The 18,828-nt window shown below is 48.0% G+C and overlaps 1 protein-coding gene across 1 annotated transcript in view, besides 1 other annotated feature; it reads right to left on the reverse strand.

The window, feature by feature from the left end:
- BAIAP2L1 (BAR/IMD domain containing adaptor protein 2 like 1) overlaps window positions 1–5,200 on the reverse strand; it is a 109,441-nt gene extending 104,241 nt beyond the window's left edge. Inside the window, exon 1 of the mRNA NM_018842.5 lies at window positions 4,912–5,200. Coding sequence (NP_061330.2) covers window positions 4,912–4,962 — 51 coding nt within the window. The 5' untranslated portion in view covers window positions 4,963–5,200. The remainder of the gene's footprint in view (window positions 1–4,911) is intronic.
- Window positions 4,874–5,533: a silencer, noted in NCBI's record as "silent region_18395". NCBI's record gives its function as "represses an Ori minimal core promoter by ATAC-STARR-seq in GM12878 lymphoblastoid cells {active_cell/tissue: GM12878}" and the evidence as "EXISTENCE:reporter gene assay evidence [ECO:0000049][PMID:35858748]".

The raw sequence follows: 18,828 nt of genomic DNA on the forward strand, positions 1-18,828 counted from the left end.
ATGGCGGTGCATGTGGTCCCAGCTACATGCCTGTAGCTTTTGATTTACATTTGTGACACTATTTCAGTTTTGGGTATTAATTCTTGTCTTGCACAGACCTCCAAGGGAAACCTAATGTGCATGGAATTAAAACAAATTGGATTTTTATTTTCTTCAACATTCCACACAGTTTTTAGTCAAAAAATAATCATTTTTTCTTGAGATGGGGTCTCACTCTGTTGCCCAGGCCAGAGTACAGTGGCACCATTTCAGTACTGCAACCTCTGCCTCCTGGCCTCAAGTGATCCTCCCACCTCAGCCTACTGAGGAGCTGGGACCCCAGGCACGTACCACCACACCCGGCTAATTTTTGTATCTTTGTAGAGGTAGGGTCTCACTACATTACCCAGGCTGGCCTCGAACTCCTGGGCTCAAGCAATCCACCTATCTTGACCCCCCAAAGTGCTGGGATTACAGGCATGAGCCACCGCTCCTAGCCTCATTTTATTAAGAGAGTTTGTTCAAAACATGCCAATGATGATGAATTAACAGAATGACAGAAAATTCCAGTGACACCTTAGATCGCCACATTATGAAAATGTATTCGGTTTGTGCATCTTTGGTCACTGGAAACTAAATTACCATACAAACAAAGGCATGGTAAGTGGGATGTGGCAGCCGGTCACTAAGAGACTCTAGGACTCAGTTTCTCAACCTGGTTAACAACTATCCTGGCCAACATGGTGAAACCCTGCTTCTATCAAAAAATGCAAAAATTTGCCAGGCGTGGCGGCTGTAGTCCCAGCTACTCGGGAGGCTGAGGTGGGAGAATTGCTCGAAAGTGGGAGGTGGAGGTTGCAGAGAGCTGCGATTGCACCACTGCACTCCAGCCTGAGCAACAAAGCAAGACCCTGTCTCAAAAATAAATAAATAAAAATAGTTAAGCCAACACAATCCACATTCACCTGGATGGCTGATGTTTACTTAGAATTAAGCACTCTATGAAAAGTATCATCGGAGGGCGCCAGGAGCCTAGCAAAGGACAGGTGCTTCACACATTAAATGGATAAATGTCCATTCATTCAACAAATATGCATGCCTACTATGTGCCAGGAACTGTTTTAAGTGCTTGGAATACAAAAACAAAAACAAAGCTCATTGCCTTGTAGAGCTCACATTCTAGTTGGGGTGGGAAGAGAGGGAAAGAAACATAAATAAATACATCACATAGCCTATTCTAAGGTAGTGTTATGGGGGAAGGTAATGTAGTCTAAGGTGGGGCTGGGAGATGGATGGAGGCGTCTGCAATCTGAGAGTCTGAGCATACTTCCTTGAGGTGACACTGAAAGGCTTCTGTGATATCTCCCCTTTGACTCTGTTAGCAAGATTCCTGTAGGTAGGACATCCCTCGATGCTGCCACACCCGTTCTTCCTCCACTTCTTAAGCCCTTTTTTTTTTTTTTTTTTTTTTTTGAGATGGAGTCTCGCTCTGTCGCCCAGGCTGGAGTGCAGTGGCGCCATCTTGGCTCACTGCAACCTCTAACTCCCTGGTTCAAGCGATTATCCTGCCTCAGCCTCCCGAGTAGCTGGGACTACAGGCACGCGCCACCACACCCAGCTAATTTTTGTATTTTCAGTAGAGACAGGGTTTCACCATGTTGGCCAGGACGGTCTCGATCTCCTGACCTCATGATCTGCCTGCCCACCTTGGCCTCCCAAAGTGCTGGGATTACAGGCGTGAGCCACCGCGCCGGGCCCTACTTCCTAAGTCTTTAACAGTTCTAGGAAGGCTGTGGCTGCTCTTAATTAAGGGTTTTTTTGAACTACTTCTTCTACCATGAGAGCATATACTCATCAGAAAACCATGCAAAATCACAGCAAGCTTTTGAGGGCAAATTATGGGCATGCTATAAAGTGTGGAGTGGGGAGGGATTTTTGGCTGAACTCTAATTAGTAACAGCAACATTACTGGACATTTTGGGGCTTATAACATCGTTTATGAAGTAGTAAAATACACACATCCTCCTGGGAGTTAGCATGGATCTCCCATAATCATTTGCCTACGTATACATTTTAGACATTTCAGCAAATGTGTACACAGCATATATTTAAGGATATTTGATATTGGCTACAGAGGATCATTCTACTTTATAATTCCTCCTTTTCTCTAAAGTATTCCTTTATTTCATAATTGGAGAAACCTGAGTATTTAAAAACAAAAAACTAAAACCCATACTAGCAAGTCATTAAAAAATCATTTGCAGGTGGCTTTTGTAAACACACCTGGTTGTGTTGCATTTCTATTAGTAAAATATGGTAGATGGTTAGGTAATATAGAGGACATCTCTTCTTAAAAGCACTAGATTCATCAACACTGCCAGATTTTTGCCATATTAAGCTTAAACTGTTTTCAGCTTGAACATCATGGGGCAGGGCTGGATAGGGGGAAGAACCCAATACAGGGGCGGGAAAAGGTTTTTCAGACTCCTGAATTAAAATTTCACTTTGCACTGCCAAAGCCAAAGCATGGGCTAGCAGCCTTCACTATTTCATAGATTACATAAACTTGTAGTCTGATGCTGTAAATATCCTACCACCTGGACATTAAAAAAAAAAAAGGTCCCAAAACACTAACAAGGAAATAGTAATTAAAACGAACAAACATTTAGTGAGCTTTCCAGTTTGCTTTCAGACACCTGGCAATGGAAAACTATCAGGTACTGGTCTTTGATCTCCATTTACAGTGCCTTACGTCTACAAATACGTATAACCAAAATGATGAAATCCACACTTTTTCCCTGCCGTTTCCGTTCTTTGGGTAATAAGACATGCCCAAGTGGTTGGCATTTGTGACGCTGCAATTCGCCTTGGTACGGTCCCTCTAAGGAGTTATTACTAAAAGTCTACGTCAGGAAGAAGCGGGAGAAAAAAAGCAGGGTTTAACTCAGAACACCTGACTGCTGGTCTCAAGTTGCAATCGCAGCTCAGACTGGGAAGATACACAGGGCTGTTCTTGGAAGAAGGGCGGAAGGCAGTGGTGTTCTGTATTTTTGCACCCCAGTGGACATCAGACTCTGCCTCAAATTTGCAATGGCCTGCCTTCCTCAATTACACAGTTTTTCCTTCACTGACAGTCAACAGAGCAGCCACTACTTACTTTCCAGGTCTGAGTCTGGCAGAAAGAACGTTTTATTTACACACTTGGTCAGTACCCCACACCTCATGCAGCAACGTCTTCCGGGTCATTTAAATAGTAGCAATCTCAATACAAATGTAGGAATTTCTCAAATTTCGAATTTCTCAAATTTCTAAAGATCGCCCTCTATGAAGGCAACACACGAATAGAAGAGTTTTTGGTCACAGTGACTGAGCATCAAAAACGCTGTGTCAACTGTGTCTACTCTCCCTACCTGTAAGGCATAATTTATATGTGACAGTATACACTTTGTGTGTTAAGATAAACGGAACGGATCTCTTGGATTTCAATACATAACAAAAATGTTCATGTTCTTCTCTTACTTTCATTCAACAAAAGTTAATAGACTCCTCTGATTTTAGGAATTCAGACCTTGAAAACCCAGAAACTAAAATTTTAGGTTTAAAAAAGTCTATCAAAATGACTAAACTTCCTGATTCAAGCACCAGGGACAGAAAAAAGATAAAACACACCAACCAACCAACCGACCAACCATTTATTTATAACCTTAAACATGCCTATACATGAACTTAGAGAACGTTAAAGTTTCAAGGGTTCGAAGCGCCTAGGCTGAATTAAAACAAAAGTTGTTTTGTGTTCTATTAATAGCAGATGATTAACAGATATCTTATTTCACCTGGAATTCATTTGTAAGTATGTAAACTAAACAGGCCACTAATCCTAAGTCTCTGTCTGTGTCTGGAAAAATTCTCTCCTAATACATGCAAGTTAAGAGACCGGCTATCAACGCATTCCTTAAGGTTAGGTCAATTTCATTAAAACCTCGGTTGTTCTTTGACTTCAAGAACCTCACCAAATAACCCATATATAAAAGCCAAGTTCAACTGAAAGGTGGGAGAGGAAGGGTCTAAGGAGGAGGGCGTTTCCCGGGAGAACGCCCAGAGCTCGGCTCACCTGGCGATCCTAATTACAGGGGAGTTTCACCCCCACATTCTTGGGCGCTTTCTTTTCTTAGAGGAAACTCGAGCTTGTGTCTTTGGTCCCGGAGGGCTTAAGCCCGGCAGCCAGGACAGCACGGGTCACTGATTCCAAGAAGTTGGGAGGAGGACGTGGGCCCCACCGACGCACAACAGACCCCTCCCCAACTTAAGTGCACTAGTTGTAAAATGTGTAGCTGGTCAGGGGATGGGGGGTGGTCTCCAGAGCTCTGAGGGTCAGGGAAGAGGAGAAGGGACGGGGAGGAGAAGGGACAGGGGAGGCGGAGAAGGGCCAGGAGAGGAGGGGGAGACACACGGGGAAGGAGGAAGAACCAAGAGGAGGGGGAGGGGGAGGGGGAGGGAGGGGGATAGACTGGGGAGAAGAAGGGACAGGGGAGGAGGGGGAGACACACGGGGGAGAAGGAAGAACCAGGAGGAGGGGAGGGACAGTGTCGAGGGGCAGGGGAGGAGGGAGAGTGAACGGGGAGCGGAGGGGCAGAGGGAGAGGTACAGCGGGGCGGGAAAGAGAGACAGGGAAGAAGCACAGGGAGGAGGGGAGGGAAGGAGGAGGAAAAGTAGGGGGGAGGGGATGGGGAGGGACTGGGAGGAAGGAGAGGGCCAGGGGAGGAAGAAGAGGGGCTGTGGAGGGCCAGGGGAGGAGTGGGAGAGACCGGGAGAGGTGGAAGGACGCGGGGGAGGGGAGCTGGAGGGAGGGAAAGTACCTTCCCGCGTAAAGTCCCCTTCTGAACCCCGAGGTGGAAAGCCCTGACCTCCCTGAGCCCCGGGCCCTGGGCTTACCCGGTAGGTGCTCTCCGTGAGCCGGTTCACCTCCTCGGGCCCCCGGGACATGGCTGCGGCCGCCGGGCGAGCAAGCGCGGGAGGACGCGGCTGGGCCTCGTGGCCGCCGGACTCCGGGCAGCGGGAGGGCCGGGGCGCGACTAAGGGGCTCTGGAGGGTCGGCCGCCGCCGCAGCCGTCGGCCCGAGAGTGCCCGCGCGCGTCTCCGCTGCGAAAATGTCAAAACTTGCGGCAGCGCCGCCCTGGCCTTCTTCGAGGAGCAGAGGAGAAGCGGCCGGACGCCGCCAGAGGAAGCTGGGCGGGCCGGGCGGCCCCACCTGAGGCGGGCGGGGCAGACGGGGGCGGGGCCGCAGGGCCGGAGGGGCGTGGCGTACCCACCTGAGGCGGCCTGGTGAGCGGGGCCCGGCCGGGGTGGGCGGGGAGGAGGCGGGGCCAGGCAGCTGGAATGGGCGTGGCCAGAGGGAAGCGGGCCCCCCGAGTGGGCGGGGTCACCCCACCTGTGGCGGACAGGGCAGCGAGGCCACGGTGCGCCCCCTCGCGGCTCTCCCAGAGCTCCGGCGACGTAGGGCCCGAGACCCTGGAGTGGGGACCGGTGTGGAGTGGGCTGCTCGCTTTGCTGTTTTGCTAGGGCAAGGGCAGCCTGGGGGTGTTTAGACTGTGGTCCTGGAGCCCTTGTTTGCCTCGCGTGGTGCTGGCCCCGGGGACCCCGAGGCCCACTTCCTCCATGAGGGCTTCCTTCAAGCCCTGCGTTTTGGGGACCAAGGGAAGGGGCCACATTCCCCAGTTGTATTGATTTCCCTGATTGATCTCTTCTTGCCCCGCCGCTCACTGACCCCAAAAGTTAGAGGGACCCGTGGGGGCATCGGCCCTCCTAGGTGGAGAAAACGGGCTGCCACTTGCAGTTTTGAAAGCTCCTGATATATCAAAAAATTAATAAATGCCAGGGTCTAGTTACCGAAATGTTAGTACTTTTTTTTTTTTGAGATGGAGTCTCACTCTGTCGCCTAGGCTGGAGTGCAGTGGTGCGATCTCAGCTTGCTGCAACCTCCGCTTCCCAGGTTCAAGCGATTCTCCTGCCTGGCATGAGCCATCCTGCCTGGCCCCCAGATAGAAGCTTTTTGTTTGTTTTTGAGACAGAGTTTCACTCTTGTCCCCTCAGGCTGGAGTGCAGTGGTGCTCTCTCAGCTTGCTGCAATCTCTGCCCCCCAGGTTTAAGCAATTCTCCTGCCTCAGCCTCTCGAGTAGCTGAGATTACAGGTGCACGTGCCACCAAGCCAGGCTAATTTTTTTGTATTTTTAGTAGAGACGGGGTTTCACCATGTTGGCCAGGTTGGTCCCGAGCTCCTAACCTCAGGTGATCCGCCCTGCTCAGCCTCCCAAAGTGCTGGGATTACAGGCTTGAACCACCGCGCCCGGCCCAGTAGTACATTTTTAAACTTTACATTAACAACGACCTTTAACTCAATGCAGTGTAACCATGCTACTCACGAGATTGTTGTAGGGTTTAGAAAACCACCTGAGCTGAAGTGTTAGGGAAGCCTCTCTTCTTGTCATCACTCAAACTCTGTGGAGGTGTGTGGCTCCTGGGCTCCCTATTTTGTCTCCATCCCGGCCTCAGCCCTGCCCAAGGGTGAGGCAGCTGCCTTCTTTGGGCCTCTCTTCCAGGATTATGTACCTTGGGCTGGGTGACAGCCTTCTCCCCAGTAAGAACCACCATTTAGCTACCTGAGACCCGCACCCAACAAGGGCAGAGGTCTTATTCTGATTTTTTAAAACCTCTGGGCTTGGTGGCTCATGCCTGTAATCCTAGCACTTTGGGAGGCCAAGGCAGGCGGATCACTTGAGGTCAGGAGTTCGAGACCAGCCTAGCCAACATGGTGAAACCGCCCTGCCCCCGTCTCTACTAAAAATACAAAAATTAGCCAGGCATGGTAGCACGTGCACCTGTAATCTCAGCTACTCGGGAGGCTGAGGCAGGAGAATTGCTTAAACCTGGGAGGCAGAGATTGCAGTGAGCTGAGATAGCACCACTGCACTCCAGCCTGAGGGACAAGAGCGAAACTCTGTCTCAAAAACAAACAAACAAAAAGCTTCTATCTGGGGGCCAGGCAGGATGGCTCATGCCTGTAATCCGAGCACTTCGGGAGACCAAGGCAGGAGGACTGGTTGAGTCTAGGAGTTCGAGGCCAGCCTAGGCAATATAGGGAGCCCACCCCCATCTCTGCAAAAAATATAATTAAAAACATTAGCCAAGTGTGATAGTGTGCATCTGTAGTCCCAGCTATTCCGGAGGCTGAGGTAGGAGGATGGCTTGAGCCCAAGAGGTTGCAGTGAGCTGTGATGGTGCCACTGCATTCCAGCTTGGGCCACAGAGTGAGACTCTGTTTCAAAAAACAAACAAAAATGCCAAAACGTCTATGTGAGTGCAATTGCATCTTTTATGGGCTGTTAAGATGTGAGACTTCTGGCCAGGCGCAGTGGCTCACGCCTGTAATGCCAGCACTTTAGGAGACTGAGGCAGGCAGATCACCTGAGGTCAGGAGTTTGAGACCAGCCTGACCAACATGGAGAAACCCCGTCTATACTAAAAATACAACATTGACCAGGTTTGATGGTGCATGCCTAAATCCCAGCTACTCAGCAGGCTGAGGCAGGAGAATCACTTGAACCTGGGAGGCTGAGGTTGTGGTGAGTGAGATCACGCCATTGCACTCCAGCCTGGGCAACAAGAGCGAAAATTTGTCTCAAAAAAAAAAAAAAAAGAAAAAGAAAAGAAAAGAAAAAAGAAAGATGTGAGACTTCTAAACTAATCTTGTGATAAAGTTCACTAGGAAATATACACAATGAAGGCACTGTGTGGCCCAGATGGGAACATCAAGAGGGTGAGTACCACTGGACTTAGAACAGAAACCACCACCTGGACTTGGGGACTGTTTTATTGGGTTTTGCAAACTATAAAACACATCATGCAGCTAGGCACAGCGGCTCACGCCTGTAATCCCAGCACTTTGGGAGGCCAAGGTGGGTGGATCACTTGGGGTCAGGAGTTAGAGATCAGCCTCACCAATATGGTGAAGCCCCGTCTCTACTAAAAATACAAAAATTAGCCGGGTGTGGTGGCAGGCACCTGTAGTCCCAGCTACTCGGGAGGCTGAGACAGGAGAAGCGCTTGAACCCGGGAGGCGGAGGTTACAGTGAGCCGGGATCTCATGCCACTGCACTGCAGCCTGGGCAAGAGAGTGAGACTCTGTCTCAAAACAAACAAGCAAACAAAAAAAACTTACCATTCTTGGGAACCAAAATGTTATGTCTTCCTGATGTTAGGGGGAAATAACACATCAGTCCCAAGTTTCTGGCAATGGAAGCAGGTGCCTTCTTCTTTAACAGATTTACAGTATTTAGTTCATGAGGTTTGCCAACTGGGTTTCACTTCCCATATGGGAGATGCATTCATGACTTTATAATTTCTACCATTATGTATTCGGCTCTGCAAGTATGTCTGTTGGTTTTTATTGAAACTTGAAAATAGGCTGGGCGCGGTGGCTCACGCCTGTAATCCCAGCACTTTGGGAGGCCGAGGCGGGTGGATCACAAGGTCAGGAGATCGAGACCATCCTGGTCAACGTGGTGAAACCCCGTCTCTACTAAAATACAAAAATCAGCCGGGCGTGGCAGTATGTGCCTGTAGTCCCAGCTACTTGGGAAGCTGAGGCAGGATAATTACTTGAACTCGGGTGGCGGAGGTTGCAGTGAGCCGAGATCGTGCCACTGCACTCCAGCCCGGGCGACAGAGTGAGATTCTGTCACAAACAAACAAACAAACAAACAAACAAACAGTAGTGCAGTTCTCAGCTCAGTGCTTGGCACATAGATGCCTGGGAGGTCTTGGCTGAACAAAATACAAATGAGTATTGATGATCTGCTGTGCAGGCAGGGAGTCTGCTGGGGGCTGCAGTGTGCAGAATGAACTGGGCTTGAACCATGCCTGTGCAGAAGGTAGAATTTGAGGACTACAGTGAAAGCCATCCAGGTACAGCCAATCATGCCATAGGTGGACAAGTGGATGTGATCTCAAAAGGCCATTTGTTTTAGACTCTTCAAGTACATTTGCTGGTTTCATCTAAACTTGAAAATCCACAGTCTGTTATTCTGAGACTTCATGATGCTCAGAGATAAAGAAGGCAAATCAATAGGAAGGGATGACTCAGGAGAAGGTGAGAATAGCAGCCCTTGTTTTGCTGAGAACTCCCTGCAGTCTCTTTCCTCCTGCATAGAAGAGCTGCAGAAGAGCTGGTCTGGCCTCTCTGTAAATCAGTCCAATGCCTTCCCAGAGACAGGCAACCAAGATCTCCTCCTTCAGCTCCTACTTCAGCTTAAATAGAGACTATCTCCAATTTACGATGGTTCACCTTTGACGGTTTTGACTTTATGATGGTGCAAAAGTAATATGCATTCAGCGGCAATTGTACTTTTTTGAATTTTGAATTATGATCTTTCCCTGGGCTAGGAATATACATCAGGATGCTTGCTTGCTTGCTTGCTTGCTTTCTTTCTTTCTTTCTTTCTTTCTTTCTTTCTTTCTTTCTTTCTTTCTTTCTTTCTTTCTTTCTTTTTGTGACAGAGTCTCGTTTTGTCACCCAAGCTGGAGTGCAGTGGCGTGATCTTTGCTCACTGCAAACTTTGCCTCCCAGGTTCAAGTGATTCTTTGTCTCTGCCTCCTGAGTAGCTGGGATTACAGGTGCGTGCCACCACGCCCGGCTAATTTTTGAATTTTTAGTAGAGACGGGGTTTCACCACATTGGCCAGGCTGGTCTTGAGCTCCTGACATCGGGATCCGCCTGCCTTGGCCTCCCAAAGTGCTGGGATTACAGGTGTGAGCCACCGCGCCCGGCAGTAGGATGCTTTCTAGCAATGTTAGGCAGGTGGAGTGAGCTCCCAGGTCAGCTGTGGCATCATGAGGGTAAACAGCCGATACTGTGCAGTGCACTGTGGTACCAGATGATTTTGCCTACTGTAGGCTAATGTAGGTGTTCTGAGCATGTGTAAGGTAGGACAGGCTAAGCTATGATGTTTTGGAGGTTAGGTGTATTACATGCATTTTTCAACTTAATGATGTTTTCAACTTACAATGGGTTTATTGGGATGTAACCCCTATTGTAACTTATAGGGCATTGGAGTAAAAAATCCTGTTTATGTCAACAAAGTTTGTAAGACACAATGGCAGATGACAATGTCAATAAGTTTTGTTTTGTTTTGTTTTTGTTTTGAGACAGAGTCTCACTCTGTCACCCAGGCTGGAGTGCAGTGGTGCGATCTTGGCTCACTGCAACCTCCGCCTCCTGGGTTCAAGCGATTCTCCTGCTGCAGCCTCCTAAGTAGCTGGGACTACAGGCATGCGCTACCATGCCTGGCTAATTTTTTTAATTTTTAGTAGAGTCGGGGTTTTGCCATGTTGGCTAGGCTGGTCTCGAACTGCTGACCTCAATTGATCCGCCTGCCTTGGCCTCCCGAAGTGCTTGGGTTACAGGCATGAGCCACCACACCTGGCCGTCAGTAAGATTTTGAAGTCCACAGTTAAAACAAGTTCTTCTTTTGGGGTTTCTCTCTTCTTTCAAACTTACTATGTGGTGTGCCAGTGGCTTCCTTTGCCCTGGTGGGTACTTGAGCAAGGGGAACCCATGAAGATCTCACTGTATTTTGTGACAAAAGAGGTCCCTGCTGATAACAGTAGTTTGGGGCACATTCCTGTAAAAATACTAATAGGCAGGATGGAGCTTTAACCTTTGTTACTCTGTCGCCCAGGCTGGAGTGCAGTGGTGCGATCTCGGCTCACTGCAACCTCCACCTCCCGGGTTCAATCGATTCTCCTGTCTCAGCCTCCCGAGTAGCTGGGCTTATAGGCACGCGCCACCACACCCGGCTAATTTTTGTACTTTTAATAGAGACGGGGGGTTTCACCACGTTGGCCAGGCTGGTCTTGAACTCCTGACCTCGTGATCCACCTGCCTCGGCCTCCCAAAGTGCTGGGATTACAGGCGTGAGCCACCGGGCCTGGCCCGTTTGGGTTTTTTTTTTTTTTGAGACAGAGTCTCACTCTGTTGCCCAGGCTGGAGTGCAGTGGCCTGATCTTGCTTGGCTCACTGCAACCTCCGCCTCCTGGGTTCTCCTGCCTCGGCCTCCAGAGTAGCTGGAATTACAGGTATGTGCCACCACGTCTGGCTGATTTGTGTGTTATTAGTAAAATGAGGTTTCACCATGTTGGTCAGGCTGGTCTTAAATTCCTGACCTCAAGTGATCTGCCCATCTCGGCCCCCAAAGTGCTGGGATTACAGCCACCACACCCAGCTTTTTTTTTTTTTTGAGACAGGATGTCACTCTGTCACCCAGGCTGGAAGTGCAATGGCCCGATCTCGGCTCACTGCAACCCTCGCCTCCCGAGTTCAAGTCATTCTCCTGCTGCAGCCTTCAGAGTAGCTGGAATTACAGGCACGTGCCACCATGCCCGGCTGATTTTTGAATTATTAGTAGAGACAGGGTTTCACCATGTTGGCCAGGCTGGTCTCGAACTCCTGACCTCAAGTGATCCGCCCATCTCGGCCCACAAAGTGCTGGGATTACAGGTGTGAGCCACCGCGCCCGGCCAGAGCTTTAAGTTTTCTTGTTCTGAAAGGCAGATGTGAATTTAAAACTCATTGACTTTTCTGTACTTTTCTTCTAATCTCAACAGCATTGAGTTCTCCTGCATGCCAAGCTCATTTCTGCCCTCGAGTTTTTCTTTTTTTTTTTCTTTTTCTGCGACAGAATCTTGCTCTGTCACTCAGGCTGGAGTGCAGTGGCACCATCTCGGCTCACTGCAAGCTCTGCCTCCCGGGCTCACGCCATTCTCTTGCCTCAGCCTCCCCAGTAGCTGGGACTACAGGCGCCCGCCACCACACCCGGCTAATTTTTTTTGTATTTTTAGTAGAGACGGGGTTTCACCGTGTTAGCCAGGATGGTCTTGATCTCCTGACCTCGTGATCTGCCCACCTTAGCCTCCCAAAGTGCTGGGATTACAGGCGTGAGCCACCGCGCCCGGCCTCCTAGAGTTTTTCACTAGCTATTTCTTCTGCCTGGAATGTTCTCCTCCCTGCCCCCCTACCCCAACCCAGGTATTTCCTGTCATTTGGAGTTCAGTTTAGATGCAGCCTCATAGAGGCCTTTCCTGACCACTCAACCTGAAGTCGTATTTGAGGCCCTCTCTATCATACCATTCTACTTTATTTTATTTTAATGTATTATTTTATTTTTTTTGAGACAGGGTCTTGCAATGTTGCTTAGGCTGGAGTGCAGTGGTGCAATCATAGCTCACTGCAACCTCGAACTCCTGGGCTCAAATGATTCTTTCACCTCAGCCTCCTGAGTAGCTGGGACTACAGGCATGCGCTACCATGCCTGGCTAATTTTTTAAAAAATTTTGGCTGTGCGTGGTGGCTCACACCTGTAATCTCAGCACTTTAGGAGGTCAAGGTGGGAGGGTCACTTGAACCCAGGAGTTAAAGATCTGCCGGGGCCACATAGTGAAACCTTGTCTATACTTAAAAAAATAGTTTTAGAGATAGGATCTTGCTATGTTGTCCAGGCTGGTCTCAAACTCCTGGCCTCAAGCTATCCTCCTGCCTCGGCCTCCCAAAGTGCTGAAATTATAGGCATGAGCCACCGCACCCAGCAGCATTCTATGTTAACTCTAATAGTGCTTAGCGCTAGCTATGGCACGTTGAATAAGGGATCCCCAAAGATGCCCAAGTCCGAATCCTCAGAACCTGTGAATGTTCATGATATGGTTTGGCTGTGTCCCCACCCAAATCTCATCTTGAATTGTAATTCCCACAGTTCCCATGTGTCGTGAGAGGAACCCAGTGGGAGGTGATTGAATTATAAGGGTGGGTCTTTCCTGGGCTGTTCTCATGATAGTAAATGAGTCTCACAAGATCTGATAATCTTAAAAACGGGAGTTTTGCCTGGGCACGGTGGCTCACACCTGTAATCCCAGCACTTTGGGAGGCCGAGGTGGGTGGATCACAAGGTCAGGAGTTCGAGACCAGCCTGGCCAATATGGTGAAACCCCATCTCTACTAAAAATGCAAAAATTAGCTGGATATGGTGGCATGTACCTGTAGTCCCAGCTACTAGGGAGGCTGAGGCAAAAGAATCGCTTGAACCTGGGAGGTGGAGGTTGCAGTGAGCCGAGATGCTGCCACTACACTCTAGCCTGGGCAATAGAGCAAGAGTCTGTCTCAAAACAAAACAAAAACAAAACAAATAAAAAATGGGAGTTTTTCTGCACAAGCTCTCTCTTTGCCTGCTGCCATCCACATAAGATATGGTTTGCTCCTCCTTGACTTCCACCATGATTGTGAGGCCTCCCCAGCCATGTGGAACTGTTAAGTCCAAGAAACCTCTTTGTTTTGTAGATTGCCCAGTCTCGGGTATTCTTTATTAGCAGTGTGAAAATGGACTAATACAGTTCACCTTATATAGCAAAAAAAGTCTCTGATCATTTTATACTTAACATGATTACGTGTTCACAAGTGATCACATGATCATTTTATACTTAACATTTTTAGGAACTGCTAACCTGTTTTTTCTCATTTTCTATGTCTTGGAAGAGTTTATGAAGAATTAGTATTTACTTTATTTAAATGTTTGATGGAATTCACCAGTGACACCAGGTGGGCCTGAGCCTTGCTTTTGGGTTGTTTAAAAATTAGTAATGCAGCTGGGGGCAGTGGCTCACACCTGTAATCCCAGCACTCTGGAAAGCTGAGGAGGGCAGATCACGAGGTCAGGAGTTCAAGATCAGCCTGGCCAACATAGTGAAACCCCATCTCTACTAAAAATACAAAAATTAGCTGGGTGTGATGGTGGGTGTCTGTAGTCCCAGCTACTCGGGAGGCTGAGGCAGGAGAACTGCTTGAACCCGGCAGGTGGAGGTTGCAGTGAGCTGAGATCGCGCCACTGCACTTCAGCCCAGACAAAGGTGCGAGACTCTGTCTCAAAAAAAAAAAAAAATTAGTATTGCAGTCTTTTTACTGGATTAGATCTTTCAATTTCTTTTTCAGAATGTTACTTCCTTATAGCTTCTATTCCTGCATCTCTTTAATCACATACAATATTATTTTATAGTCTCTACCAGGATAGTTCTGTGTGCTTTTGTTTGCTTTGTTTTGTTTGGTTTGGTTTGGTTTTTATTCTTACTCAGCCATTGTTGCGTCTGCTGGTTCCCTATCACAGTGGAGTTTTTCCTTATTTGTTTCGGTAATTTTTTATTATGAGGTCATCTTTGGGGTGGAGGGGGGAAGAACCTTTTTTTTTTTTTGAGAGGAAGTCTCATTCTGTCTCCTAGGCTGGAGTGCAGTGGCACAATCTTGGCTCACTACAACCTCTGCCTCCCAGGTTCAAGCGATTCTCCTTCCTCAGCCTCCTGAGTAGCTGGGACTACAGGTGCCTGCCACTATGCCCGGCTGATTTTTGTATTTTTAGTAGAAATGGGGTTTCACCATGTTGGCCAGGCTGGTCTCCAACTTCTGACCTCAAGTGATCCACTTGCCTCGGCCTCCCAAAGTGCTGGGATTACAGGCGTGAGCCACTGTGCCCGGCCAAGAACCATTTTTTCTATAAGAATCGCTTGTGGCCCGATTTGTAAAATATTCCTCCAGAAAAGTTTTACATTTGTCTCTACCATGCACTCCAAGAAGTTCACCACGAGATTCAGCTTCTGAACCTGCTCCGTCTCACAGGCTTGGTGGGATAATTTCTCTTAGGATATTGTTTTTTTCTACCCAGTTAAGTCAAGCTCCCTTGTCCTCCACCAATGCCAATAAATATTTTCTTTTTTTAAGTTTTTTGAGACAGGGTCTCAATTCATTGCCCAGGCTGGAGCGCAGTGGTGGAATCATAGCTCACTGCAGCCTTCATCTCCCAGGCTCAAGCGATCCTCCCACTTTAGCCTCCCAAGTAGCTGGGACTGCAGGTGCATGCCACCACACCTGCATAATTTTCTTGATGTTTAGTAGAGACGGAGTCTCTCTATGGTACCCAGGCTGGTCTCAAACTCCTGAGCTCAAGCAACCCTCCTACCTCAGCCTCCCAATGTACTGGGATTAGAGGCATGAGTCATTTCTTCCAGCTCCAAAAAGGATTTTCTTTTCTTTTCTTTTCTTTTTTTTTTTTTTTTTTTAAGATGGAGTCTCGCTCTGTCGCCCAGGCTGGAGTGCAGTGATATGATCTTGGCTCACTGCAACCTCCGCCTCCCAGGTTCAAGCGATTCTCCTGCCTCAGCCTCCCGAGTAGCTGGGATTACAGACACTTGCCACCATGCCCAGCTAATATTTTGGATTTTTAATACAGACGGGGTTTCACCATGTTGGCCAGCCTGGTCTTAAACTCCTGACCTCAAGTGATCCACCCACCTTGGCCTCCCAAAGTGCTGGGATTACAGGTGTGAGCCACCATGCCCGGCCTCTCTGTATTCTTTTTTAAACTTCTATCCACAGCCTTGATTCTGAAATCTCTTTCTCTAGGTGCAGGTTGGCTTCTGTGAGAAGAGGCTATTGATTTGCCTAAGGCTGAGATAACCTGAACATTCTTTACTCTTCCAAGGGCAGAAAGGGAGAGACGCTGATCTGTTGTCCTGAAAACTCCTTGAGGATTCGGCTTCTTGGGGAGATGGCCCAACCGGATTTGTGGAAGTTGATCTGCCTGGCTTACCTTCATTTTCCTTGTCTTGATTTTTTCTTTCTTTCTTTTTTTTTTTTCCATAGGAAAACATTAGCAGAGAAAGTTCCAGACTTTCCTTTCCTAAGCAAATTTGTTTTATGTATTGACCAAACTCCAAATATTGACAACTGTTCCTAATGTCCTCTTAGTAAGACTTAAATCCTTGCAGGCATGCCCAGTATTTTTCCTTGATCAACAAATGCAGTCAGTTCTGGAACAATTTTCCCTTCACTTGGGGCTTTTTCTGAGAGGCAAGACTTGGAAGTACTGTTACAGAAATCTATGGAACCAAAAGGTTAGTGCAAAAGTAATTGTGGGGGCCAGACGCGGTGGCTCACGCCTGTAATCCCAGCACTTTGGAAGGCTGAGGTGGGCGGGTGACCTGAGGTCAGGAGTTCGAGACCAGCCTGACCAATATAGTGAAACCCCATCTCTGCTAAAAATACAAAAATTAGCCGGGCATGGTGGTGGGCGCCTGTAGTCCCAGCTACTCGGGAGGCTGAGACAGAAGAATTGCTTGAACCCAGGAGGCTTAGGTTGCAGTGAGCTGAGATCACGCCACTGACTCCAGCCTGCGTGACGGAGTGAGACTCCGTCTCAAAAAAAAATAAATAAATAAGGTAAGAAAAACACCTGGACTGCTAAGCAGTTCCCCAAAGGGGACAGCAGGGGATGCCAAGAGGATGGAATATAATGGAATATTCTTTTCCATGAGGCCTACTTGTCTTTTTTTTTTTTTTTTTTTTTTGAGACAGAGTCTTGTTCTGTCAACCAAGCTGGAGTGCAGTGGCACAATGTTGGCTCACTACAAACTCCACCTCCCAAGTTCAAGCAATTCTCCTGCCTCAGCTTCCCAAGTAGCTGGGACTACAGGCATATGCCACGATGCCCATCTAATTTTTTATTTTATTTTATTTTACTTTATTTTATTTTATTTTTTGAGATGGAGTCTCGCTGTGTCTCCCAGGCTGGAGTGTGGTGGCATGATCTCGGCTCACTGCAAGCTCCCCATCCCGGGTTCACGCCATTCTCCTGCCTCAGCCTCCCGAGTAGTTGGGACTATAGGTGCCCGCCACCACACCCGGCTAATTTTGTTTTTGTATTTTTAGTAGAGACGGGGTTTCACCGTGTTAGCCAGGATGATCTCAATCTCCTGACCTCCTGATCCACCCGCCTTGGGCTCCCAAATTGGTGGAATTACAGGCGTAAGCCACTGCACCCAGCCTTTTTTTTTTTGTATTTTTAATAAAGACACAGGGTTTCACAACCATGTTGGCCAGGCTGGTCTTGAACTCCTGACCTCAGGTGATCCACCTGCCTTGGGCTCCCAAAGTGCTGGGATTACAGGCATGAGCCACCACACCAGCCTCTACTTGTCTTTTAACACTTTCTCTTTCAGGGAGAGCAAAGTTTGGTGACACAAGGTTGCCTCTGATGGTCCTTTTTGTCTGCATCCCACCTGACTACACACCTGTGGCTCTGTTCAGATGGCCAGGTACCACCTCACCACACTGGCCTCTTATTGACGTTTATAGCAACTTTATTTCCACAACAGCCCAGGACTTCTGCCACTTTTCACTGTATTCATCATTGTGCCTCATCTCTGGCTTGGAATTTTCCCAAATCAATGAGTACTGTGAACAAGGAGAGAATGCAACCGTTTCACGAAAAGGGGACGTATTAGCCTTGTGGATCTTGGAATTCAGCATAAAACAAAAATTTCCATTAGACAAATGTACACAATGATAAATTATTAAGCAAAACCTTGAGTGGTAATTTACGCATTTCTGTAACTATGTCCCCAGCATATTGACATTGACCAAGAAGTGCAGGAATGCTTAAGAATCAATGGAAATTTTGCTGAGTACGAAAGGCAGGCTTCGCCAATTAAGCCCATTGTGATGTCCCGTCAGTATCTGATCACTATAAAAGTTTTAGCATGAATTTGGCCATAATGTCAGGAAGTACTGTGGGCCCAGAAAAAGGAGTCGCAAATTCATGGTGGAAAGAGCTTTTCTATTTTAATACTCATCACTAAGACGCCCTCACCAACTAAAAGGATGCATTATATGCATTAGTTATTGTATTTAGAGATTTTAAAATCTATATTTGCTCTAGCGTTGGTAAGGCAATATGCAGGCAGATAGGGGCAGACACTTTTTACTTTTTTTTTTTTGAGTTGGAGTCTTGCTCTGTCGCAAGGCTGGAGTGCAATGGTGCGATCTTGGCTCACTGCAACCTCTGCTTCCTGGATTCAAGTGGTTCTTCTGCCTCAGCCTCCCATGTAGCTGGGACTACAGGCGCCACCAACAGGTCCAGCTAATTTTTGTTAATTTAGTAGAGACAGGGTTTCACCATGTTGGCCAGGCTGGTCTTGAACTCCTGACCTCAGGTGATCCACCTGCCTCAGCCTCCCAAAGCGCTGGGATTACAGGCATGAGCCACTGTGCCCGGCCTCTGCCCCTTTTTTCTACAACAGGGGGCAGAGAGATAGAACCCTGGTTTTCTGGTTTCCTTGCAGGCAGGAGCAGCAAAACAGACACATTCTGGCCAGAGACAAAGGAAACGAAGGAGACAAGGAGACAAAGGTCTACTGAGAAGGCTGAAAAGTGAAATAGTGGAGGTTCTGGAAGGCTTTTCCTTCCTTCCTTCCTTCCTTCCTTCCTTCCTTCCTTCCTTCCTCTCTCTCTTTCTTTCTCTCTTTTTTTTTTTCAGGAAGTCTTTGTTTTTTTTTGCCCTCCTCATAACTTCCTAGAAAGCACATGTGGGCTGGGTGCAGGGGTTCACGCCTGCAATCCCTATGCTTTGGGAGGCTGAGGCAGGAGGATCGCTTGAGCCCAGGAGTCTGAGACCAGCCTGGGCAACATAGCAAGACCCCATCTCTACAAAGAAAAAAAAATAGGCAGGTGTGGTGGCAAGCACCTGTAGTCACAGCTACTTGGAAAGATGAGGCAGGAAGATTGCTTGAGTTCAGGAGTTCGAGGCTGCAGTGAGCTGTGATTGTGCTGCTGTACTGCATCCTGGGCAACAGAACGAGACTATGTCAGAAAGAAAGAAAGAGAGAAAGAGAGAGAGAGGAAGGAAGGAAGGAAGAAAAGAGAAGGGAAGGGAAGGGAAAGGAAAGGAAAGGGAGGAAGGAAGGGAAAGAAGAAGCAAGGAAGAA

The sequence above is a fragment of the Homo sapiens genome, chromosome 7 (assembly GCF_000001405.40).
Source record: "Homo sapiens chromosome 7, GRCh38.p14 Primary Assembly".
Lineage (NCBI taxonomy): Eukaryota > Metazoa > Chordata > Mammalia > Primates > Hominidae > Homo > Homo sapiens.